At 57.3% G+C, this 25186-nt stretch overlaps 2 protein-coding genes and 1 long non-coding RNA gene across 11 annotated transcripts in view, besides 3 other annotated features; 1 reads left to right on the top strand and 2 right to left on the bottom strand.

Annotated features, from left to right (window-relative positions):
• PCGF3 (polycomb group ring finger 3) overlaps positions 1 to 25186 on the bottom strand; it is a 64258-nt gene that overhangs the window by 36571 nt on the left and 2501 nt on the right. For 2 of the 9 annotated variants that reach the window (NM_001395251.1, NM_001395249.1), the window contains exons 1-3: positions 8290 to 8363; positions 2851 to 2889; positions 2409 to 2549 (exon numbers count right to left, since the gene is read on the bottom strand). The gene's annotated coding sequence lies outside the window, so the exon portion shown is untranslated. Of the gene's footprint in view, positions 1 to 1020; positions 1120 to 2408; positions 2568 to 2850; positions 2890 to 8289; positions 8364 to 25186 lie in introns of those variants that run through there. The other 7 variants (NM_001395250.1, NM_006315.7, NM_001395247.1 and 4 more) reach the window with 6 other exon arrangements.
• Positions 1021 to 20348, bottom strand: LOC124900172 (uncharacterized). Its single transcript, XM_047416540.1, has 8 exons — positions 20277 to 20348; positions 19110 to 19161; positions 16962 to 17105; positions 13242 to 13393; positions 9444 to 11144; positions 2851 to 2889; positions 2409 to 2549; positions 1021 to 1119 (listed from the first exon to the last, which is right to left on the bottom strand). Exons 1-5 carry the CDS (start codon positions 20346 to 20348, stop codon positions 10191 to 10193), a joined length of 1374 nt encoding a protein of 457 aa, XP_047272496.1. The 3' UTR covers positions 1021 to 1119; positions 2409 to 2549; positions 2851 to 2889; positions 9444 to 10190.
• Positions 1574 to 2074: an enhancer, noted in NCBI's record as "H3K4me1 hESC enhancer chr4:725234-725734 (GRCh37/hg19 assembly coordinates)". NCBI's record gives its function as "activates a minimal SCP1, AML or CMV promoter by ChIP-STARR-seq in primed H9 embryonic stem cells {active_cell/tissue: H9 hESC(primed)}" and the evidence as "EXISTENCE:reporter gene assay evidence [ECO:0000049][PMID:30033119]".
• Positions 5903 to 6417: an enhancer, noted in NCBI's record as "H3K4me1 hESC enhancer chr4:720891-721405 (GRCh37/hg19 assembly coordinates)". NCBI's record gives its function as "activates a minimal SCP1, AML or CMV promoter by ChIP-STARR-seq in primed H9 embryonic stem cells {active_cell/tissue: H9 hESC(primed)}" and the evidence as "EXISTENCE:reporter gene assay evidence [ECO:0000049][PMID:30033119]".
• Positions 6418 to 6933: an enhancer, noted in NCBI's record as "H3K4me1 hESC enhancer chr4:720375-720890 (GRCh37/hg19 assembly coordinates)". NCBI's record gives its function as "activates a minimal SCP1, AML or CMV promoter by ChIP-STARR-seq in primed H9 embryonic stem cells {active_cell/tissue: H9 hESC(primed)}" and the evidence as "EXISTENCE:reporter gene assay evidence [ECO:0000049][PMID:30033119]".
• On the top strand, positions 9485 to 11274 carry PCGF3-AS2 (PCGF3 antisense RNA 2). The gene is made up of 2 exons (NR_198961.1): positions 9485 to 9890; positions 11082 to 11274. It is a non-coding gene; the product is annotated as a PCGF3 antisense RNA 2 (long non-coding RNA).

Below are 25186 nucleotides of genomic sequence, written 5' to 3'. Positions count from 1 at the left end.
GTGCAGGGCACGGTCAGCAATCCAGTGTCTGCGTGCACTGGGACAAGCCCACCTTTTCAAAAGCCCCCGGCTCCCCCGCACTGGCTTCTCTCTGTGCCCAACACCCCCTCCTCTCCTCCTGCAGTGAGGACTGAGGAGGGTCCATAAAGCTGCAGAGAGGCAGGATCCCCGAGCTGTCTGTCTTCTGTGAAAGCGGAAGGAGCAGGAGGAGCCCGCGAAGGCAGAGCTGCCGGGTGGGATGAGGATGGGCAGGCTCTGGGCACCTGGACCCTCTGCGGCTCACAGCGCGACCCTTGGGCCCAGTTTAGAGTCTGGGCTGTATGCTCACACCCCTTCCTCCCCATTCACTTGTGGGGCCGGCGCGGCTTCCACGGTGTCTCCTGAGGCTGTGTCTCCCAGAGCCTGAGGCAGCACGGGGCAGGGGCGGAGGCAGCACGGGGCAGGGGCGGAGGCAGCACGCGGCAGGGGCCCCACCCTACCCTCACAGGGTGGGCACAATGCCAGGCCACAGTGGCTGGCAGAGGCCCTGCCTTGACAGCTGCCGCAGCCGCTCTGCTCGCCCACCAGACCTGCGCCTTCGGGGAGGTGACCCCCGATGTCACCGCACGACGGCAGGCAGAGCCTGGTGATTTGCTTCTGTGCTTGAGGCAAGAGAGCAGGGCCGCTCCGCGTGCGGAGGCTGGTGGGGACTCAGGGTGGCCAGGTGCACCCCACTACTGGGACTTCGCTCCCCACACCTTTCACCAGGGGAGCAGCAGGCACGAGTTTCCCTCAGTGGGGACGGAAAGCCGCGACCCAAACTGCTGCATGCGTGACACCACTTCCGTCATCACCGCCACCAAGAGGCCCAGCCTGGAGCTCTCTGCTGAGCCCCACATCGCCTGCTGCAGGCGCGGGCCTGGGCGTCCAGCTGCAGTCCCACGAAGCAGCTGAGAGCTGGGCTCATCCAGGGGCCACATGTTTGTGGGTGAGGCCTGTCCCCGACCACTCTGCCACCACCTTTACGCTTGCGGTCCTCACCTGGTCACAGAGACTTCCAAAGTCAAATCCTCCCCTTCTCCTCCTCCCTGCGGGGCTGTGAGGTTCGGGAGACCTGATGCATACTGAGGACACGGGAGCCTGCCCAGGAAGGGAGAGGGAGGGGAAGGAGAAGGGAGGGGAGGGGAAGGGAAGGGAGGGGAGGAGGGAAGGGGAGGGGAGGGTAGGGAGGGAAGGGAGGTGAGGGGGAGCCCCACCCCGCGCCCTGACGACCACGCCCACTCGGGAGGGGAGGGGGAGCCCCACCCTACGCCCCTAAGGACCACGCCCACCCACGAGGGGAGGGGAGCCCCGCCTTACCAACCTGAGGACCACGCCCACTCACGAGGGGAGGGGAGCCCCGCCCTACGCCCCTGAGGACCACGCCCACCCACGAGGGGAGGGGAGCCCCGCCCTACGCCCCTGAGGACCACGCCCACCCACGAGGGGAGGAGAGCCCCGCCCTACGCCCCTGAGGACCACGCCCACCCACGAGGGGAGGGGAGCCCCGCCCTACGCCCCTGAGGACCACGCCCACCCACGAGGGGAGGGGGAGCCCCGCCCTACGCCCCTGAGGACCACGCCCACCCACGAGGGGAGGGGGAGCCCCGCCCTACGCCCCTGAGGACCACGCCCACCCACGAGGGGAGGGGAGCCCCGCCCTACGCCCCTGAGGACCACGCCCACCCACGAGGGGAGGGGAGCCCCGCCCTACGCCCCTGAGGACCACGCCCACCCACGAGGGGAGGGGAGCCCCGCCCTACGCCCCTGAGGACCACGCCCACCCACGAGGGGAGGGGGAGCCCCGCCCTACGCCCCTGAGGACCACGCCCACCCACGAGGGGCGGGGGAGCCCCGCCCTACGCCCCTGAGGACCACGCCCACCCACGAGGGGAGGGGAGCCCCGCCCTATGCCCGAGGACCACGCCCACCCACGACGGGAGGGGGAGCCCCGCCCTACACCCCTGAGGGCCACGCCCACCCACGAGGGGACAGAGCACCCGGGAGGGGAGAGATAGCCCTGCCCTGCGCCCCTGAGGACCTCCCTGCAGGATGCTAGCCGACCGCCTCACAACTCACTGGGCTGAGGCCCCAGGCTCGGCCCCCAAGCAGCACTGCTCCTCAGCGACACGCCGGGAACCCAAGTGAACCAGTGACGGAAGGAGACCAGCCCTCTGCACCCCGCACTGCCATCGAGGCCTGGGACCCCCACAGCTGGCTGGACCTTGGACTCTCACAGGAGGGGCCAGGAAAACTCGGCAGTGAACCGTGAACACTGCATCGTGTCCTGACCAGCTGGCTCCTAATGATCGCCGGCCCTCGCCACAACCAGCAACAGGGCAGGGCAAGGAGTCAGCAGGACCCCCGGGGTCGGGGGGCGTGGGCCTCACCTCCGCTAGACGTCCGCGTGTCCGTCCCTCTGCCGGGGCATGGAGGCTTCAGGCCAGCACTCCCACGCGACGCTGCCTCCTGGCTCCGCACGCGGACTCGCTTCTGCACCCTCCTTCCGGCCCTGGCTCTTTTTCCATTTTCTAGCACAGAAACGGCACCTGTTAGTTCACTTCGCGTCATGGATGTGTGACTGCCACAACTCCGCCATTCCTACTGGAACTTGCAACCAAGCCCTACCGAGCAAAGGGCGGAATGGGGTCAATCAGAAGTACTGACCGGGAGAAAAGCTAAGGACCCACGCATGGCTCCAGCCTGTCCTCAGAGCCTGCGTTTCAGAGGCACTGCAAGGAACGCCGACCACATGCACAAAGCGTGGTCCCGGCGGAGTCCGGCAGTTCACAGGTGCGGAAAGAAGAGGGCAGTCGGCCTACGCGCACTTACCTGAGCACGACGCCTGGGGTCCCTGCTACATTGTGACGCCTGCGGAGAAAAAGCACAACAGGGTTACCCGTGGGCCGGAGGCGGACGACCCCCACCCCACCCGCGGTGCCAAGCCTGGCTCGGTTACACTGCTCTGTTCCTTGCTTAAAATAACCAAAAGTTCTTCACAGGGACCGTGAAGAACAGGCTCTACCCGGGAGACACGGGCTGGTCTCGGTGCCTGTCGGGCGTCTCTGAGCCCAGGCCCAAGGCATCGGAGACAGCAGGAGTGGGCACGTGGCCCACGGGGGTGGGGGGGCAGCTGGGGGCCCCATCATGCTGTTTTGGGCCCAAGAAGGCAGGATGTGAGTCTGTGGAGCCCCCCAGAGGAGGGGTGAATTTCAGGGGTGATCTGGGCAAATGCAAGACCTCAGAGGCAAGGCAGTGACGGCTGGCTCCACGACGCAGCCAAGAGATGCCCGCAATTCTGCTGCTGTGCACAGGGCACCATGTTCTCTCCCAGTCACAGACCTGCCTGCGCCTACCAGACGTGCACCAAGGGCCCCGGCGTGGGCACTGAGCCTGGTGTTGGGCTCAGTGGGGATGAGGACAGGGAGGGCACCTGGGGCCTCAGACAGGGAGGGAGGGGCAGGGGAGGGACACAGTCCCCACCCGGGACCAGGGGACCACGTAGGGACCCTGCGTCTGGGATGGGGCATCAGGGTGGCTGCCATGCTGGGAGTGCTTCCCCGGGAACCTCGGTGGCCTCCCACACGTTCCTGTGTGAGTTGGGGAAACAGGTGGCTGGAGTCAGACTGGGGAAAGTGGGGGCCTGGGATGACGTACAGTGTCTGTGGCTTAGTGACAGAGATTAAATACTTTCATGCTCTTCATTTTCTACCCCGTTTGTATCATTTCTACTCTTCCGGTTTCCCATAACTGCACTTTTTATTAACTAATCTTTGAAGCTCAGTTAACTTTTACATAAAAAGGGAGGAAGAAGGGAAAGAGTAGAGTTAGTCTTCCCAGGCAAATATAAGGGGAGATCAGCAGGCATGTCTGAGGCACTTGAGTTAGGGAGAAGAGAAACAAGATGAAGAGAATGAAGCCAGGCTCAAAGCCAGGCTTCCGGAATATTCTGCAACACTGGGGGCTTCCACATCTCCACTACCCAACAGCACAGCTGCTGACCACACATGGCGTGGAGCACCTGAACTGTGGCTTGTGGGACTGAAGGATCTCATTATAATTATTATTATTTCTTTTTTTTTTTTTGAGACAGGATCTTGCTCTGCCACCCAGGCTGCAGTGCAGTGGCACGATCTTGGCTCACTACAGCCTTGACCTCCTGGGCTTGAGCAATCCTCCCACTTCAGCCTCCTGAGTAGCTTGGATTACAAGCATGCACCACCACACCTGGCTAATTTTTGTATTTTTAGTAGAGACAGGGTCTCAGTCTGTTATCCAGGCTGGCCGTGAACTACTGGGGTCAAGTGATCCTCCCGCCTCAGCCTCCCAAAGTGCTGAGATTACAGGTGTGAGCCACCGTGCCCAGCCCAGTTTTTTTTTTTTTTTTTTTTTTTTTTTTTTGAGATGGAGTCTCGCTCTGTCACCCAGGCCGGAGTGCAGTGGTGCAATCTCGGCTCACTGTAACCTCCACTTTCCAGATTCAAGCAATTCTTGTGCCTCAGCCTCACGAGTAGCTGGGATTATAGACGTCCGCCACCACGCCCAGTTAACTTTTATATTTTTAGTAGAGATGGGGTTTCACCATGTTGCCCAGGCTGGTCTCGAACTCCTGGCCTCCAGTGATTCACCCACCTCGGCCTCCCAGAGTGCTGGGAATACAGGCGTGAGCCACCACACCCGGCCAACCGAACGAATTTTTAATTGTATTTAATTTTAGTTAAACTGTGGCCAGTGGCTCCTGTGTTGGCTGGTACAGCTGGCGGCTCCTGACAGGAGTTCTCAGACTTCAGTGAAAACACAGACACAGACCTTGGAGCCAGCATTCTAATGAAGGAAGACAGACAATAACTAACAAACAGGTCAATTATTTACTATGTTAGAAGGTGACACACAGCCATCCCTTGGTATCCGTGGGGGACTAGTTCCAGGACGCCGCTGATACCAAAATCCACAGGTGCTCAAGTCCCGGACATGAAGTGGTGTCGAGTCTGCACAGAAGCTATGCACGCTGCCCCCCAACGCGCTCTACGCCATCCCCAGATTACTTACGACACTTAACACGCTGTGCACGCCACCCCCCACGCACTCTACGCCATCCCCAGATTACTTACGACACTTAACACGCTGTGCACGCCACCCCCCACGCACTCTACGCCATCCCCAGATTACTTACGACACTTAACATGCTGTAAACACTATGTCAATGGTTGTTCTACTGTATTTTTAAGATGTGCATTATTGTTATTGTTGTACTGTTATTTGTTATTGTTTTGGTTCCCAAACATTTTCAATCTGTGTTGACTGGACCCATGGATTCGGGGGAGCTGGCCGTGCACTATTAAACCGGGTGCACCTAAAGCAGGTGACGTCCGAGCACGGACAAGATATGATGAACTTGACCCTAATAAAATGGAAAGTTTACGTGAAACTGCTAAGTTCCTAGAACAGTAATTCACCAGCATTGAGACTAGCAGAGAAAACCCAGGAAGTTCCAGAACCTACAGGGAGCCAGGTCAATGGTCAGAAAGTCCCTTCCAAGACAGCATCAGGCCCCGGAGGGATGCAGGTGGTTTCACCAGACGCTCAGGGCACAAATAATTCAGTCTCATACTCTTCTCAGAGAACTAAAAGGAGCCTTTTTCCAACTCACACTATGAGCCTGACAAAACCAGGCACTGACCATGGCAGACGGAAAGAACTCAACGTTAACCTCACCAGGAAACACAGAGGTGAAAATCCAAAGAAAACGGTTAGTCATCCTTTTTAAGCAATATACAAAAAGATAATCATTCTTGACAAACTCAGAGTCCTAGAAAACAACGTGGGCTTAATGCCTATGGGAAAAAGATACAATTTATGACAAAAGATACAAGGAGAAAAATCACATGATCTTCCCAGCAGGTGCATAAAAATCATTTGACAAAATAATTGTCCATTCATGATTTAAAAAAAACAAAACTCAGCCAAGCATAGTGGCTCATGCTTGTAATCCCAGCACTTTGAGAGGCCGAGGCTGGCAGATCATGAGGTCAGGAGATGGAGACCATCCTGGCTAACATGGTGAAGCTCTGTCTCTACTAAAAATACAAAAAATTAGCCAGGTGTAATGGCAGGTGCCTGTACTCCCAGCTGTTCGAGAGGCTGAGGCAGGAGAATCGCCTGAACCCGGGAGGCGGAGGTTGCAGTGAGCCGAGATCGCGCCTTGCACTCCAGCCTGGGGAATAAGACTGAAACTCCATCTCAAAAAAAAAAAAAAAAAAAAAAAAAGACGCTCGCTAACACACACATCCTCTCAAAGTCTTATACAACAATGTTCAAAGCAGCCCTTTTCCTAACAGCCCCAAACTGGAAACAACCACCTAGTTAGTCCATCAGAAGGCGGATGATAAACACAGCGTAACCCCTCCCCACGCAGATGCGGCTCGGCAGTGAGAGTGAGCAACGCAGGTGCCCACGATCCCACAGGGGAGAGGGGCAGACGCAGGAGCGCACACACGTTCCCACACGCCACTCAATTCCAGAACAACGGCAAGTCTGGTGGGAGGACACAGGCACACACAGTCCAGGCAAGGCAGGGACTGGCCACAGAGGGACCTGAGGGAGGCCTGCGGGGACCGAGCTCTGGGCCAGCACTGCCGGCAAGTCCATGAAACTGGACAGGGGGTGAAAAGTCCCCAAACTGCACAATAAAACTGGTGAATTTTAGTGTGTATCTTAGAATTAAAAACATACACCATAAACATCATTCCTGTGGTGAAATTAGAAAAAAAAAAGCCAAACTGTCAGCTTGTATTGCACCATCCCACCCCAAAAATAACCAGGGCCGGGTGGGTGAGGACAATGGAAAAGGCGACCGTGAACCTTTGGAGGTTGCTAAGGAGGGTATCGTCATGATCGTGGATGAGGAGAAGATTTACGAGACAGAAAACAAAACTGACCATGAAGGAAATGACAAAGTCAAAGATAAGCACCCTGAGTTATTCAAAAGCACCATGGAGAAAAAAAGCCAAGGCCTGAGGGAAATTTCGGCAGTGCCTCCAGGGCCACAACCTAGACCAGGGCCTGGCCATCGTGGCCCGGCTGTGCCCCGTGGGCTGTGTGAGCGGGTTTGCTGGCCCCCGCAGGGCCTGCTCCCAGCACACAGCGCTGCTCGTTGGAGGGAGGCCTGGGGCCGCACGATATTCACCATCTGCTCCCTCACAGGGTTTGCCAGCCCCACTCTAGCCAACAGAGAGCTTCACAAAAGAGAAATTTCAAACAAGCATGTTTTAAATGCTCAACTGTATCAGTGAACTGGGAAATGCACATTAAAAACCCGACAAGATGGCTGCTGACCCTGGCATGCAGAAGCCACGGCCGCAGCGCCACACAGGCCAGGTGCGCACCCACGAGACCATTCCTGCCCGCCAGCCTCTGCCCCACAGCCCATCCCGCCCGCGGCTGCCCACTGCTGGTGGCCTGTTTCACTTCCATGGACACACGGTGGACGGGGCCGATCCTAACCATGGCTCGGAAGAGGCTGGGACGACCTGAGGGTTAATCGGAGACACAGAGAGCCTGGCGGAGAGTGGCCCTGGGGCTCCTGAAATGGGGAGGCCAGTGAGGGGCCAGCTGGGGAAACTGAGGCGGTTCCAGGAGGCTCCGTCATCATCTGTGGTCACCTGCTGGGGGACCCGGGGACGAGCGCTGAGGCTGGACAGGAGGGGCAGCGACTCGGGTTTCCCCTGGGCAAATAAGAGCAGAACCCACAGCAGCCCTCTGCAGCCCACACAGCCACAGCACAGAGCCCACAGCAGCCCTCGGCAGCCCACACAGCCACAGCGCAGAGCCCACAGCAGCCCTCGGCAGCCCACACAGCCACAGCGCAGAGCCCACAGCAGCCCTCGGCAGCCCACACAGCCACAGCGCAGAGCCCACAGCAGCCTTCGGCAGCCCACGGAGCCACAGCGCAGAGCCCACAGCAGCCCTCGGCAGCCCACGGAGCCACAGCGCAGAGCCCGTTCCTACTCCCTCCTCACGTGGACACGGCTCCGCCATGCACTGGGTCAGATGGTCCCATGGGCCCCACAACCCCTCAGGGCCGCTGCCCCTCCTCCCAGCAGCCTACACACCCCACGTCTAGTCCACAACTTCTCATTAGGTCTTAATTTATCATTTCTTAATATGCAGAAATATAAACGAAAGCTTAAAGCTGGAAACAGAACTTCCCACGATTGTCACGGCTCCACATGTACACCCCTCACAGCGCGGCCGGCGGTCCGCAATACGCACCTCACACGGCCTCTGACAAGGAGAGACAGGAGCTGAAATACGAGTCCTCATCAAAACCAACCACAGAAGCGCAGGCTCTGGTGACCTGAACAGTGTGGGAAGCTCCCTCCTGTGCCCGCATCTGCCCGCCTGCTGCACCCGCGGTGTCACCAGGCCAGTTTCAGATCCAAAACTGCCTACTTCTCTCAGTGTGCACAACTATTGGTATGTATAAAGGCAGATTTATCAACACTAAGACAGTAATTTCTTTTCTTTGCTTTTTTTTTTTTGAGAAAAAGTCTTGCTCTGTCACCAGGCTGGAGTGCAGTGGTGTGATCTCAGCTCACTGCAACTTCTGCCTCCTGGATTCAAGCAATTCTGTCTCAGCCTCCCATGTAGCTGGGACTACAGGCGTGCACCACCACACCCAACTAATTTTTTGTGTGTGTGTGTGAGACGGAATCTCGCTCTGTCGCCCAGGCTGGAGTGCAGTGGCGTGATCTCGGCTCACTGCAAGCTCCGCCTCCCGGGTTCACACCATTCTCCTGCCTCAGCCTCCTGAGTACCCAGCTAATTTTTTGTATTTTTAGTAGAGACGGGGGTTTCACCACGTTGGCCAGGCTGGTCTCGACTCCTGACCTCAGGATCTGCCCACCTAGGCCTCCCAAAGTGCTGGGATTACAGATGTGAGCCACCGTGCCCGGCCAAGAATAATTTCTAACAAAACACCTGGAGTATTTTATGAAGTAAATAAACAAAAGACAGACTTTGAACTGGCAGCTGCCACCCCACCCAGCCCACAGCATGGGCTCCGCCTTCTGGTCCATGGCCCCCACAGCACCGCTGTCCACCAGGGTGCTCCGTGGAGCTTCACCTTCCCTGCCTGTGCGGCCGGCTGTGGTGGCCCACAGGACTGAGCCCCTGACCTGGCTGGCATGGCCGAGGACGGACTCGGGTGTGGAAAAGCCTCCGGGGCCTTTGCTGTAGCCCCTGAGCCTCCTTGTCACCCACTTCCCTGTCTCCCGCAGCCGATCCCACCTCTTCGCTCTCGTCCCAAGGCCACGTGGGCCTGACCACCCCCAGGGCTCCGTGCCCCCTCCCGGCTGACAACCACCATCTGCCCTGAGTCTTTCTGCCGGGGCTCTGCCATTGGGCCCTGAAGTTCTCAAACTGACCCGAACATTCCTTGACTGTTAACAGCAGCTGCTGTGCCTGACGCTTGCAGTCCTGGGCAGACAGCAGCCCCCACCATCCTCACAGCTGCTGGGGAAGGGAGCAAGGCCCAGAGACCCCTTGATCCCTGGACGCCCCACACGCCTCCTCCCTCTGCTGACTCCACTCTGCCCTGTCCCCGGAATGCGCTGCGGCCATGGAGACCACAGGCCTTCTGGGGAGCCAGCCAGCCTGCGGTGCCGTGGGGCCTGACGCGTCACACACCAGACCTGGGTCACAGGGGGTGTTGCACTCCAGCCCCTCCTGGCCTCACAGAGGCCCCTGTGCTGTCCTTCAGGCCTGGGCTGCCCGCTCAGCTCTCGGCTCCATCCCCATCCAGCCAGCAGCCTCCGCTCCTGCGTCTTGAGGGTCTTCCAGGAATCTGCCCTACAAGGCCCCCTCACCTGGGGGTGAGGACCCTGCCCCACACAACCAGACTGAAGGGGCCCCCGCACCGTCTGGAACCCTCTGTCTTTCCTGGTCAGACTCACAAGCTCCACGTCCACACAGCTCTCACTTTCACAGAGCCCCATCCCTCCTTCCCGGGGGTGCCAAGCCCACCCCCTCCTCTGGTCTGCCCTGCCCTACCCTCTGGGCACCCCACTCTGGTCACCCACCTTCTTCTGCTTCCCAAGGGCATCTTCCAGATCTTTTTCCACCTCCCTCCTCTCAATGATCACACCCAGGGCCAGCCCCTCCAGGTGCCACTTCTAGCCTCCGAAATGCACCCTCCTCTCCCCGGTGGACCTCAAGGTCACGTGGCTCCATGGCTCCCGGCAACTGCAGCGGCTAGGAGCCTTCAGAAATGCGCAGGGAACACAGCTCTCACCACACTTTTCAGACACATCCCCGCGCGGATGGCGATGACCGAGTGTGGACCCGGCGCGGACGGCGATGACTGAGTGTGGACCCGGCACGGACGGCGATGACGCGAGTGTGGACCCGGCGCGGGTGGGCGATGACGCGAGTGTGGACCCGGCGTGGATGGCGATGACGTGAGTGTGGACCCGGCGTGGATGGCGATGACGCGAATGTGGACCCGGCACGGACGGGCGATGACTGAGTGTGGACCCGGCGCGGGCGGGCGATGTCGCGAGTGTGGACCCGGCGTGGATGGCGATGACGCGAGTGTGGACCCGGCGTGGATGGCGATGACGCGAGTGTGGACCCGGCGTGGATGGCGATGTCGCGAGTGTGGACCCGGCGTGGATGGCGATGTCGCGAGTGTGGACCCGGCGTGGATGGCGATGACGCGAGTGTGGACCCGGCGTGGATGGCGATGTCGCGAGTGTGGACCCGGCGTGGGTGGGCGATGACGCGAGTGTGGACCCAGCGCAGACAGGTGATGACGCGAGTGTGGACCCAGCGCAGACAGGTGATGACGCGAGTGTGGACCCGGCGCGGACGGCGATGACTGAGTGTGGACCCGGCGCGGACGGGCGATGACGCGAGTGTGGACCCGGCGCGGACGGGCGATGACTGAGTGTGGACCCGGCGCGGACGGGCGATGACTGAGTGTGGACCCGGCGCGGACACAGCCCCGACGTGAATGGATGTGTCTCTGATGCCTCAGTGTGACATATGCCTTCCTCTCCACCCAGCTCAGACACCCCCAAAACACTCCGCACGCCAGCCACGCCGCTGCCTGGGGCAGCCTCCAGCTCCTGTCATTTAGCTGCGGGATGCTGGGAGGAGCTGCTGTTCTGAGTCGCGCCTGCAGCACACAGCCGTCTGGATAACACAGTAGCTTCTGCTTTTTGTTTTGTTTTGCAGTAAAAGTCACATACACACGTATTCAGTATGATGTGCAAAGCGAAGGATGATATTAAGGAAAAACGTATCATCCTGAACACTAAGAGGCAGCGGCTGTTCTCTGCGTAAGGACGTGTCCGTGTCTGTGGGTGTGTCCTTAGATAACACTGCATACACACAGATGCTGCTCTCACACAGACACCGTCCCACGCCCCGTGTGTCCTGCACTACGCGATGTGCTCCGATGCGGTTTCTGCAACGAAGGAGCTGCCACGGGCCTCTCCACGCCCACACACAGAGCCACCCAACCCATCCACCTCCCACAGGCCTCTCCCCACACCCACATGCAGCGACACATGTCCACCCACCTCCCACAGGCCTCTCTCCACGCCCACACGCAGAGCCACCCATCCACCAGTCTCCCACAGGCCTCTTTCCACACCCACATGCAGAGACACCCATCCACCCACCTCCCACAGGCCCCTCCCCATGCCCATACACAGAGCCACCCAACCCATCCACCTCCCACAGGCCCCTCCCCATGCCCATACACAGAGACACCCATCCATCCGTCTCCCACAGGCCTCTCTCCACACCCACACGCAGAGCCACCCGTCTCCCTAAGGGTCCTACAGGCCCTGGGGCCTGCGTTCAGCAGCCCCGCTCACCAGGAGCTTCTCTGTCCTGTGAAAGGAGTCCTGGGGGGCAGGGTGACCCCCAGCGAGTGCACTCTGCCCTCGCCTCGCCCGCAGCCTCCTAAGGCACCGACTCCCTCTCTCTTCCGCTCTCCACCCCGGCACCCTCTGCAGCCTGGACGCCTCAGCCCCCTTTCCCGTCTGGCTGACTGCCCAGCCCAGCCTTCCTCTGGGGAGCTCTGCCAGGAGGAAGAGCCGGCATCACAAGCCCATGCCTGGGGCACATTTTCTTCTGCCACCCATATCTTAGGACAGCCTTGAAGTTTCTGTTGTTTGTGAGTCAGTTTTGCTGAGTTATGGAACTTTCCAGAAAACAGCTCCTGAGATTCACAGGCACAAAGCTGCAGGCGTGTCCTGTGCCACCGTGGAACAGCCTCACTGGGGAACCATGAGAATCAGGGCCCGCACTGTTGTAATGGGGCAGTGAGGTTGGTTTCACAAACATCCATGAAATCGTCACCACCGCCCGACAAGCAGCGTTCCCTCCCCAGGGTCCTCAGCCTCATGGGTGCCCAGCCCAGGTGGGAGGGGTGGTGCCACGTGGAGTCCCGTCTGCTCCATGCCTCCCATCTGAGCTCCTGCTTGCCCATGGGGTCATCTCCTCCTTGCTGTCCTCGGCCACTCCCTGGACCATGCCAGAGCTCCCGTCCAAGTGGTGAAACCCGCCCAGGACAGGCTTCTCCAAGCCGCCCTCGCACTAATTCACCCTCCACACAAGTCTGAGCAGTATCTTAGAGACAGAAGTCTGACATGTCCTCCTGACAGCAGAGCCGAGCCTCACCCTCTGCTTCCCATGCCAGCGCAGTCACGTCGGAACCACATCCATTCACGTCGGGGCTGCGTCCACGCCGGGTCCACACGCACGTCACCGCCCGTCCACGCCGGGTCCACACGCACGTCACCGCCCGTCCACCCCGGGTCCACACGCACGTCACCGCCCGTCCACCCCGGGTCCACACGCACGTCACCGCCCGTCCACCCCGGGTCCACACGCACGTCACTGCCCGTCCACGTGGGGTCCTGTTCACGTCGGGGCTGCGTCCACATCAGCCTTGCCGTCCTCCCAGCCATGCACAAGGCTCCCTGGCAGGAGGCCCTACCCACTCACGGGTGGGCCAGCCCCTGTCCACCTGACAAGAGACCCTGCACCTCTCTGGACGGGCAGCCCCACCTCCCGGAGCTGAAACCACTCTGCTGCTCTCCCTTGTGGCACTCTGTCCTCCTGCACAGTCACCCTCCACAGCGATGCACAGGCGCTCCTCCCGCAGTCACCCTCCCCAGCGATGCATGGGCGGGCACTCCTCCCGCAGTCACCCTCTGCAGCGATGCACGGGCGCTCCTCCCGCGGTCACCCTCCCCAGCGGCACACAGGTGCTGTGTGCCACCTGGCCCCTCGTGCTTGGCATACTCCGGCAGCAGGGCCACATCGGCGTCCTCATGAGGCGACAGCACGTCCAGGGCTGTCACTCAGGAGGGAAAGGCCATCCAGTCGATGCCAGAGGCACCCCTGCCTTCACCAACGGGCTCTGCAAAACCTGTTTTCATTTATTTTCACACAAAAATGACCAAACTGCTGCAACTGGCCCCACAGATGCCCCCAGCCCAACATTAGCTGTTCACAACGCTGTGAACCGCACCACAGCTACGATCCCAATGGACTCTCGTTCCCATCGTCCGGAGAGTCCCTCCCTCTATAATGCGGCCCCGACGCTCCGACTGCCAAGGGAGGAGCTGGGCTAGGGTCCCTTCCATGCCCCTGGCATCACTGCAGCAGCGGCAGGACACGGATGAGGCCCAGCCAGACCACCGGATGCCTCCAGCTCTTTGTCTCCGCACCTGGTTCACCTGTGGCCTTTCCACAGCTGGCCTGACCCCAAACACCCTGCCTGCACCGCCCTGCACCGTCCTGCCCCTCCAGCTCCACTGTAGCCCTCAGCACCTGCCAAACTCACACACCATCCCTTCTCCACCTCCTTATGGCGTAAACGCCTCGCTCCTGTTCCCTGACGGGACCCCGCATTGCAGCTGCACCACAGACACACACAGCTCCCTCGCCAACCCGCGCGGAGGACACAGGACCTGGGGGGGCGGCTCACAGCAGCCAGGGAGGAACAGACACAAACCACTCTCCGGCACCACCATGTTCCTGAGCTGCGCCTGGTGAGAAGACAGTCCAGGCACCGAGGGTTCTCATCAACCTCGTGCGGACACACAGAACCACACCAAGCACTCTCTGTTCCTTCCCGCTGGAGACGACCAGGTTAGGAGGAAAACGGAACTTTACATGGTTCTCTGCACAGCTATGTCACCCTAAAAGTTTTTTTAAGAAAATGAAAAACAGCCGGGTGAGGTGGCTCACACCTGTAATCCCAGCACTCTGGGAGGCCCAGGCAGGCAGATCACAAGGTCAGGAGTTCGACACCAGCCTGACCAACATGGTGAAACACCGTCTCTACTAAAAATACAAAAAATAGCCGGGCATGGTGGCACGTGCCTGTAGTCCCAGCTACTCAGGAGCCTGAGGCAGGAGAAATGCTTGAACCTGTATAGCAGAGGTTGCAATGAGCCAAGATAGTGCCATTACACTCCAGTCTGGGTGACAGCACAAGACTCTAACTCAAAAAATTAAAAAAAGAAAAAAGAAAAAAAAGAAAATGAAAAACAATGCTACAACATGACAGCGCTTTGAATTTAATTCTCAAAAGGGTCCATGACTCGAAAGACAGTAAGCATCCCTGCTCCATCTCTGGCCAGGCAGGAACTGACCCCAGGCAGTAAAGTTGCCTCCCCCATGGCCCAGCCCCTACCGTGGCCACAAAGCTCTCAGAGGGCCATGGGCTCCTGCCCACACCTGTGACATCGAGCCCCCAGCCTGGTCCTTGACTCCCAGCCCCACTCAGGGTGTTGCCTGCATTAGAGCAACTGGGCCCCCAACTCCCAGCCAGAGCCAGCCGACCCCACCTCCGTGGACCGTGGCACTGTGGGGGCCACACACAGAGCACAGCACTCACACGGACAGGGCTGAGACTGGACAGGCCTCACTGCTGGGCTGACATTTCTCAGTAGCTGGGATTACAGGCGCACATCAGCTCTCATTTTTTAAATTAAGTGTTTATACAAATATTTGCGTTCATACAAAGACCTAAGGTACATTCACTAAGGTGGGACCCCAGATGAGAGTCACTACCAGCCTCAGAGTGTAGCTCAGTGACATCCCCCTCAACCCAGGCCCCGCAGGCCTGCAGCTGTCCAGGAGGCCCAGGCAGGTTATACCCAGGGAGCTCGGGGGCGCTTCAGCAGTCCGGCCCCCAGCGCCGCCCCCGGGGCTACCCCACAGACCCCCCGACTCCACGTTTCCTCTCCAGGCACCTCTGGCCCAACCCTGCTTTGAACTCCCATCCAGACGTCTGACGGCTGCACGTCAGTGGGCGGCCGGCACGTCCATCAGGACTTCCCTGCCCTGACCTCCTCTGACAGCCTTGCACCCCAGGGAGCCCCAGACACCTCTGAGCCACCTGCGCCTCCCTCACACTGGGCCCCCCTAGAAACCAATCTGCTGTGCCTTGAAGGACACGCGGCACCCACACAGCACCCTCGCCTCTGCCACACCAGGCCCCACTGACCTCAACGCAGCACCCACGGGATTCCCGAACACACAAGCCTGAGTGGACGCAGAGGCTCCTCAGGGCCATCGAGGTCAGGCCCTGGCCCTGCCAACAGCCCACACCTCCCTCTGCCTTTGCCTCTCCCTCTGCCCCTGCCGCGTGGACTCCTCAATCACCGCAGGACATTCTCGGCCCTCTCGCTCAGGGCGCCCTGTGCCCAGAACACGCCCTCCTGCACCTTATCAAGCCTCTTCTCAATGTCATCTCAGTATGCTGCAGAGACTACCTTGTTTGAAAGTAAGCACACACAGCCGGGCGCGGTGGCTCACACTTGTAATCCCAGCACTTTGCAAGGCCAAGGTGGGCAGATCACGAGGTCAGGGGCTTGAGAGCAGCTTGGCCAATACAGTGAAACCCCGTCGCTAATATAAATACAAAAATTAGCTGGGTGTGGTGGGAAGCACCTGCAGTCCCAGCTACTCAGGAGGCTGAGACGGGAGAATCCCTTGAACTCAGGAAGTGGAGGTTACAGTGAGCCGAGACCCTGCCACTGCACTCCAGTCTGAGTGACAAAGCAAGACTGAAAAAAAAAGTAAGCACACACTCACAGTGTCCACAGGGTCCCAGCACTGACACCCAGTTCTCACACTCAGTGTCTACAGGGTCCCAGCACCGACGCCCAGTTCTCACATTCAGTGTCTACAGGGTCCCAGCACCGACGCTCAGTTCTCACATTCAGTGTCTACAGGGTCCCAGCACCGACGCTCAGTTCTCACACTCAGTGTCTACAGGGTCCCAGCACCGACGCCCAGTTCTCACATTCAGTGTCTACAGGGTCCCAGCACCGACGCTCAGTTCTCACATTCAGTGTCTACAGGGTCCCAGCACCGACGCTCAGTTCTCACACTCAGTGTCTACAGGGTCCCAGCACCGACGCCCAGTTCTCACCCTCAGTGTCTACAGGGTCCCAGCACAGACGCCCAGTTCTCACCCTCAGTGTCTACAGGGTCCCAGCACCGACGCCCAGTTCTCACACTCACAGTGTCTACAGGGTCCCAGCACCCACGCCCAGTTCTCACACTCGCAGTGTCCACAGGGGCCCAGCACCGACGCCCAGTTCTCACACTCACAGTGTCTAGAGGGTCCCAGCACCGACGCCCAGTTCTCACACTCACAGTATCTACAGGGTCCCAGCACCGACGCCCAGTTCTCACACTCACAGTATCTACAGGGTCCCAGCACCGACGCCCAGTTCTCACACTCAGTGTCTTCAGGGTCCCAGCACCGACGCCCAGTTCTCACACAGTGTCTACAGGGTCCCAGCACCGACACCCAGTTCTCACACTCAGTGTCTACAGGGTCCCAGCACCGACACCCAGTTCTCACACTCAGTGTCTACAGGGTCCCAGCACCGACGCCCAGTTCTCACACTCGCAGTGTCCACAGGGTCCCAGCACCGACACCCAGTTCTCACACTCGCAGTGTCCACAGGGTCCCAGCACCGACACCCAGTTCTCACACTCGCAGTGTCCACAGGGTCCCAGCACCGACGCCCAGTTCTCACACTCAGTGTCTACAGGGTCCCAGCACCGACGCCCAGTTCTCACACTCACAGTGTCCACAGGGTCCCAGCACCGACGCCCAGTTCTCACACTCGCAGTGTCCACAGGGTCCCAGCACCGACGCCCAGTTCTCACACTCAGTGTCTACAGGGTCCCAGCACCGACGCCCAGTTCTCACACTCACAGTGTCTAGAGGGTCCCAGCACCCACGCCCAGTTCTCACACTAAGTGTCTACAGGGTTCCAGCACCGACGCCCAGTTCTCACACTCAGTGTCTACAGGGTCCCAGCACTGACACCCAGTTCTCACCCTCAGTGTCTACAGGGTCCCAGCACCGATGCCCGGTTCTCACACTCACAGTGTCTACAGGGTTCCAGCACCGACGCCCAGTTCTCACACTCAGTGTCTACAGGGTCCCAGCACCGACGCCCAGTTCTCACACTCAGTGTCTTCAGGGTCCCAGCACCGACGCCCAGTTCTCACCCTCAGTGTCTACAGGGTCCCAGCACCGACGCCCAGTTCTCACCCTCAGTGTCCACAGGGTCCCAGCACCGACACCCAGTTCTCACACTCACAGTGTCTAGAGGGTCCCAGCACCCACGCCCAGTTCTCACACTAAGTGTCTACAGGGTCCCAGCACCGACACCCAGTTCTCACACTCACAGTGTCCACAGGGTCCCAGCACCGACACCCAGTTCTCACACTCAGTGTCTACAGGGTCCCAGCACCGACGCCCAGTTCTCACACTCACAGTGTCTAGAGGGTCCCAGCACCCACGCCCAGTTCTCACACTAAGTGTCTACAGGGTCCCAGCACCGACACCCAGTTCTCACACTCACAGTGTCCACAGGGTCCCAGCACCGACACCCAGTTCTCACACTCAGTGTCTACAGGGTCCCAGCACCGACGCCCAGTTCTCCCACTCAGTGTCTATAGGGTCCCAGCACAGACGCCCAGTTCTCACACTCACAGTGTCTACAGGGTCCCAGCACCGACGCCCAGTGCTCACACTCAGTGTCTACAGGGTCCCAGCACCGATGCCCGGTTCTCACACTCACAGTGTCTACAAGGTCCCAGCACCGACGCCCAGTTCTCACACTCAGTGTCTACAGGGTCCCAGCACCGACTCCCAGTTCTCACATTGAGTGTCTACAGGGTCCCAGCACCGACACCCAGTTCTCACACTCAGTGTCTACAGGGTCCCAGCACCAACACCCAGTTCTCACACTCGCAGTGTCTACAGGGTCCCAGCACCGACGCCCAGTTCTCACACTCAGTGTCTACAGGGTCCCAGCACCGACACCCAGTTCTCACACTCACAGAGTCTACAGGGTCCCAGCACCGACGCCCAGTTCTCACACTCAGTGTCTACAGGGTCCCAGCACCGACGCCCAGTTCTCACACTCAGTGTCTACAGGGTCCCAGCACCGACACCCAGTTCTCACACTCACAGCGTCTACAGCGTCCCAGCACCGACACCCAGTTCTCACCCTCAGTGTCTACAGGGTCCCAGAACCGACGCCCAGTTCTGTTACTGACATACTGACCCATGGACTGCTGTAAAGGGACTTTTGAAGCTGTAATTAAGGTCCCAAATAAGCTACCTCAAAATCGGGAGTGCCCAGGTTTGCGTGACCTAGTGAGAAGAGTCCCTCCAGGGCAGCTTTCTCCAGCTGAGACTGAAGAGGACGTCAGGGCCTATGTCTCCGCTGGCCTGGCAGAAGGCAGTGGGGTGGGAAGGATGCGAGCCCGGTCCACGGACAGGGAGACAAGACCTCCAACGCCAGGGGGTCTCACCTGGCATGGTCAGAAGGGCCAGGACCTCCAGGGCAAGGACAGGCCCTGGCTGACTCTGGTTCAGGAAAACATGGAGACATTCTCAAGACAGCTGGGAAGAGGTAAGGCGGCCTGAAAATCAGGTAACGCCGTGAAGTAGGTGCCACCGTCCTAGGGTCACAGTGGGGTTGTAGCGGTGTGGGGGCCTCCCCTAGTTCTTGCTCTCAGGTGGGACTCACCTTCCCAGCAAGGCTCCTGTCCGGAGCCGCTCACAGGTGAGTCCAGGATGTACTGAGAGAAGGAGAGGAAGCAAATGCGGCCGAACGGCCACGAGTGGGTCTGGGCAGTAGAGGGTGCCGTCCTGGTCTGTTCAGGCGGCTGCGACCGAAGCACCTTAGGCCGAGCAGCTGACAAACCACAGAACGCACCTCTCAGTTCTGCAGGCTGGGAGTCCAGAATCAAGGCGCTCGCAGATTTGGGGGCTGGTGGGGTCAGAGTCCTCACAGGCAGTGCCTTCTCTCGTGTCCTCAAATGACAGAAAGGGCGCTGGTCCTGTCATCAGGGCAGAGCCTTCCGAGGGCCCCACGCCTGACACTGACACCTTGGGGGTTAGGGTCCCCCATGGATTCTGGGGGACACAGACGTTCGGACCACAGCAAGTGCTCACTGTATAATTTTCTCCATTTTTCTGTATTGCGATTTTTTTTCTTAACAAAAACTTGGGTAAAAAAGTAAATTAAAATCACTTAACATTTAAAAAATTTTAAGGTGAGCCCTCGTGGCCCCCACATTCCAATGATGCCTGCCCTGTGCGCCCTCTGCTGTGCCAGGCTCACACTGCGAAATAAGCACAGCTTTTACGGTCTGATTCCTGGGCGGCATCAGGAATCCAACAAGTTCATACTCATGCCGCCTCAGAACAGCTCCACACAGCATCCATGAGGATCAGCTTCCGGTTACTGTTTATTGAGCATCTAATACGGGCCACGCCCTGATCAAGAACCTGGAAATGTGACAGCTCACAAGACCCAGACAGGAGACACAGGCACAAAGTCATAGCCCCCCACGAGGCCACACAGGATCCATGAGGCCACAGCCCTGACGAGGCCACACAGGACCCATGAGGCCACACAGGACCCACAAGGCCACAGCCCCCACCAGGCCACACAGGACCCATGAGGCCATAGCCCCCACAAGGCACACAAGACCCATGAGGCCACAGCCCCCACGAGGCCACAGCCCCCACAAGGCCACACAGGACCCACAAGGCCACGGCTCCCATGAGACACACAGGACCCACAAAGCCACAGCCCCCACCAGGCCACACAGGACCCACAAGGCTACAGCCCCCATGAGGCCACAGCCCCCACCAGACCACACAGGACCCATGAAGCCACAGCCCCCACCAGGCCACACAGGACCCACAAGGCCACAGCCCCCACCAGGCCACACAGGACCCACAAGGCCACAGCCCCCATGACGCCACACAGGACTCACAAAGCCACAGCTCCCACGAGGCCACAGCCCCCACCAGACCACACAGGACCCACGAAGAACATAGGACCCACTTGGCCACAGCCCCCAGGAGGTACACAGCCCCCCACAGGGCCCACAGGCCCCACAGGCCCCCAACAAGGCCATACAGCCCCCATGAGGCCCACAGCTCCCACGAGGCTCACAGCCCCCATAAGACCCACAAGGCCAACGGGACCCACTGATTAGAGGGAGTTTCAAGGAAGTCTGCAGACAGATTTCCCCTCTTTGCATCTATTTCTCATTAAACATCTGGAATTTGCTGTTAATGTAGCAAAGCCCAGCAAATATCAATGAATTTGAAAAAAAGAAAAAAGAAACCAAGCCAACAAATCCACTCTCTAAATGCACCTAAATATTAGAGTTTATTGGCCGGGCGCGGTGGCTCACGCCTGTAATCCCAGCACTTTGGGAGGCCAAGGCGGGCGGGTCATGAGGTCAGGAGTTTGAGACCAGCCTGGCCAACATGGCAAAACCCCATCTCTACTAAAAATACAAAAACTTAGCCGGGCATGGTGGCAGGCGCCTGTAATCCCAGCTACTTAGGGAGCTGAGGCAGGAGAATCACTTGAACCAGGAGGCGGAGGTTGCAGTGAGCCGAGATCGCGCCACTGCACTCCAGCCTGGGCTACAAGAGCAAAACTCCATCTCAAAACAAACAAACAAACAAAAAACAAAAACAAACAAACAAACACGAATATTAGAGTTTATCTTAAAAAAAAGCAAGTCAATATAACAATAGGTTGAAGGACTATATTTTCTAGAGTGTGAGTTCCTGTCAATGGGAGTTTTGCTTAACTCAGTGGATAATTCTACAAAAATGCACCTAGGCAACATTCACTATTGTTCTTTGTCATTTTGGCATTTGCATAATTCAGTTCTGTCGGGAGAAACGTGGCAGATCTGGAAAGATAGTTTTGTTTTGTTTTTCTTAAGGCCTCACATTTTTAAAATTCAGTGATAAACTATCAATGTATGAAATTAAAAATAATTTCAATTTTTGAAGCACAATGAATTGTACCATATTTTTGCTATATTAACAGCAAGTATCATAATAAAAAATAGATAAACAATAGGAAACTGTCCCTAAACCTCACTATATTTCAATGGTAAAAGAAAAATTACATTTTCTTTTCTTTTTTTTTTTACTTTTTATTTTTTTTTCAGACAGAGTCTCACTCTTCGCCCAGTCTGGAGTGCAATCTCAGATCACTGCAAACTCCGCTTCCCGGGTTCAAGCAATTCTCCTGCCTCAGCCTCCCAAGTAGCTGGGATTACAGGTGCCCACCACCATGCCTGGCTAATTTTTGTTGAAAAATTACACACGCCTGCCTAATTCTGTAGAAAAATTACATTTTCGGCCGGGTGCGGTGGCTCACGCCTGTAATCCCAGCACTTTGGGAGGCCGAGGCGGGTGGATCATGAGGTCAGGAGATCGAGACCATCCTGGCTAACAAGGTGAAACCCCGTCTCTACTAAAAATACAAAAAATTAGCCGGGCGCGGTGGCGGGCGCCTGTAGTCCCAGCTACTCGGGAGGCTGAGGCAGGAGAATGGCGTGAACCCGGGAAGCGGAGCTTGCAGTGAGCCGAGATTGCGCCACTGCAGTCCGCAGTCCGGCCTGGGCGACAGAGCGAGACTCCGTCTCAAAAAAAAAAAAAAGAAAAAAAAAAGAAAAATTACATTTTCAACTTCAATTCTAACCATTAACCAAAAATAAGGCTGCAAACAAAATAAATCCTGCCATTTAATAAAGAGTAACAGCATACACCAAAACAAGACTCACTTTATAATCCAAATAAAAAAACCCAAGTAAAGAATTCTAGCCCACGGCAAAGGGCCCCTGCCGCACCCTGCAGCTCCTCGATTTTGCCACAGAGCCGCTGTAGTCTAGAGAGTGCGGCATGGTGGGAGGGGCGGCTGAGGTCTCCAGAGTCCAGAACAGGCCCCCTTCCCGGCCCTAGCTCCAGCCCAGAACCGGAAGGAGGCATGGGGTCCGGCTCCCTGTGCAGTGGAGGGTGTGGGCTAGGAGCAGAGGCTCTGGCTCACAGTAGTGCCTGGACCCTGGAGCTAAGTCCTCACACCGGTCAAATGTCCAGTGTGGTCAAGGTCTCACGTCTCCTACGGCATTTTTATGAAGTCACAAATAACTGCAAGCGCAAGGTCTACTGTAACTGGTAAAAACATTTCCCCCATATATTTAAAATGGTTTAGGAAAACTTAACAGAAGTCGGTTGATAATTTCTGGAGCAAAATCACTGGCAGGAAGAAAATGAGGGGACTCTGGGAACAGCAAAAATCCTTGCACTTGAAGCTGTTGGGAAGGATTTGACATCAGTGACACACACCTTGTAATTTAATTTGTGGGGGGGTCTTTTGGCTTGCTACTGGTATGCCAAATTGCAAGTTAATTCCTAAGAATCTTTTCTATCTGTAATTTATCTTCTTTTACGTATCACAAATATCTCAATCATGACGGTGACATCGGAGAAACCCACACCAATTAAAGAGACAGCTGAACAGTCACATCCTCATCTTAACACGTCACTCCACACGCAATCGCTGATTTACTTACGGGATGTCTCTCCAGTGCCCTGAGAGGTGCCAGGCTCACAGCACCGCTGTGCTGGGCAGGCTTTAAGTGTTCCAGTGACCCCACCTGCCCATCGTATGCTCACCGTTTTGGAGTCCCCTCCCCTCAAGTGTGTAGGGGCCGAATGACTCTTGGCAAAAGTGGTAGAATGTCACTCCACAAACACTGGGACGTCCTTCCTGTCCCTCTCTGGCTAGGCATGGGCTCCCTCGGAGCTGCCCTATAGAGAAAGGAACTGAGGTCTCCAGCCCACAGTCACGTGACACAGCCTGGCTGCGGACCCTCCCCAGTCCAGCCTTCAGAGGAGACACAACCCCAGATGGGAGGTCCCTGAGCCAGAGCCCACCTGGTCTCCCAACCCACAGAAACAGTAAGTTATCATCGGACTGTTGGTTTAAGGCAGGGGTTCTGGGGTAATCTGCCACACAGCAATATATAAATAATACAACCACTCAGCACGGCCTAAAAACACCTCTAAAACACACCTCTAAAAGCCTGGGAACCAGACAGTACAGAGCCAAACAAACCTGAACACTCAGCTTCACAAGCCTCTTCCACAATTTCACAAAGCAAATGAAGTTTAAAAAACAGTAAAGGATATGTCAAAAGAGCAAATCAGAAGGAAGTGTTGAGTAAAAAGGTCCCTGGCGGTTACACTGGGCGAGTAAGAGCTTCTAGGTCCAGGCTGACCACGCAGGGACACGACGTGGCTGACACTGAGTACCCTGAAATGTTAAGCTGAAAACCTAACACGGTTTTCTCCTAAGTAACCAAGAAGTGAAGCTGTGGCAAAGATGAAATCCCGAACCATCCAATTCAGTGTCTCTCTTGGGAGTCTAGATAGCTCAGAGTTTTAGGGTTACACCTCATTGTACTGCCCAACTTCCAGGCAAGCCCGCACGCCTAATCCGAGGGGATGTCTCTGAAGAGCGGCCCTGCCTTTCATTCATTTGTTCATGCATCACTCACTCTTGCCTTTCATTCATTTGTTCATACATCATTCACTCTTGCCTTTCATTCATTTGTTCATGGATCATTCACGCTTGCCTTTCATTCATTTGCTCATGGATCATTCACTCTTGCCTTTCATTCATTTGTTCATGCATCATTCACTCTTGCCTTTCATTCATGTGTTCATGCATCATTCACTCTTGCCTTTCATTCATTTGTTCATGCATCATTCACTCTTGCCTTTCATTCATTTGTTCATGCATCATTCACTCTTGCCTTTCATTCATTTGTTCATGCATCATTCACTCTTGCCTTTCATTCATTTGTTCATGCATCATTCACTCTTGCCTTTCATTCGTTCATGCATCATTCACTCTTTTGGGGAATGTACGGCACACCAAGCAGCCACACGGCACCCTCTGGGAGCAGGGTTCCTGGGATGACCACCCTCTGGAAACACCCCTGACAAGATGTCACTAGACAACCCTTCCCTAGTCAAAGGACAGCATAGACCGCTCGCTTCTGAATACCTCATGCACCCCACTTTTTCATTACCACTTCCAAATTAAAGGAAAACACCCACAAGTTTTTGATAAAAGGCTGATTCAAAGGTTTCAGAGAAATAAACCAACCCCCGTCCCCAGCCCGATCACCACCAGGATCCTTTAATTCCTTCCCTTACTAGAGAGGGAGTGGGAAATAGCCTTGCCTGCTCCAACTTTCCTGACTTGGACCAACTGTCCCCAAAATATGCCCAGGAGTCCACATCCCAGCTCAGACCCCACCCCTCCTCCAAGTCTCCCGGACACTGGAAACGCCTCTACACTGAGGAAGTGGGGCACTCACATGACCTTGAAGATGGGGAGAGGGGCAGGAGGGGTTGAAGGTGCTGGACACGGACCACAGCCAAGGCAAGGACAGGACAGCAGCCCCGGACGAGGGGCTGAGTGGGAGGGTGCAGTGCCAGCCTGAGGTGTGGAGCCTGTGGGCTGGGAGCTCCTGGAACCCTGAGGCCCCTGCCTCATACCTACCCCAGGTATCACCTAGGCGGTTCATGTGCAGGGGCTGTGGGGCTGGCCCAGGGTCTCATGGAAAGGGCCTCGGGTACCAGGATGCCAGATGCCTGGCCTTCACAGCAGGTGCATCCAGCTGAGTGGACTGGGCAGATTCAGGACACTGCTGGATTCCCCCCCGAGGGTCCCAGTACTCCTTACAGTCCAGTCTTGGGGCCTACATGCTC

The sequence above is a fragment of the Homo sapiens genome, chromosome 4, assembly GCF_000001405.40.
Source record: "Homo sapiens chromosome 4, GRCh38.p14 Primary Assembly".
NCBI lineage: Eukaryota > Metazoa > Chordata > Mammalia > Primates > Hominidae > Homo > Homo sapiens.
The sequence above is the reverse complement of the archived record's forward strand: the minus strand, read 5'-3'. Positions and strand labels throughout refer to the sequence as shown.

Coding starts and splice junctions, on each gene's coding strand:
- LOC124900172 (XM_047416540.1), bottom strand. CDS start 20,348: ATGGGGGCTGTGGCCTTGTGGGTCCTGTGTGGCCTGGTGGGGGCTGTG. Junction 19,162..20,276: donor TGTGGGTCCTGTGTGGCCTG/GTGGGGGCTGTG, acceptor TCCTTCTCTCAG/TACATCCTGGACTCACCTGT. Junction 13,394..16,961: donor ACCCTGTGGACACTGCGAGT/GTGAGAACTGGG, acceptor TTCCCTCCTGAG/TGACAGCCCTGGACGTGCTG.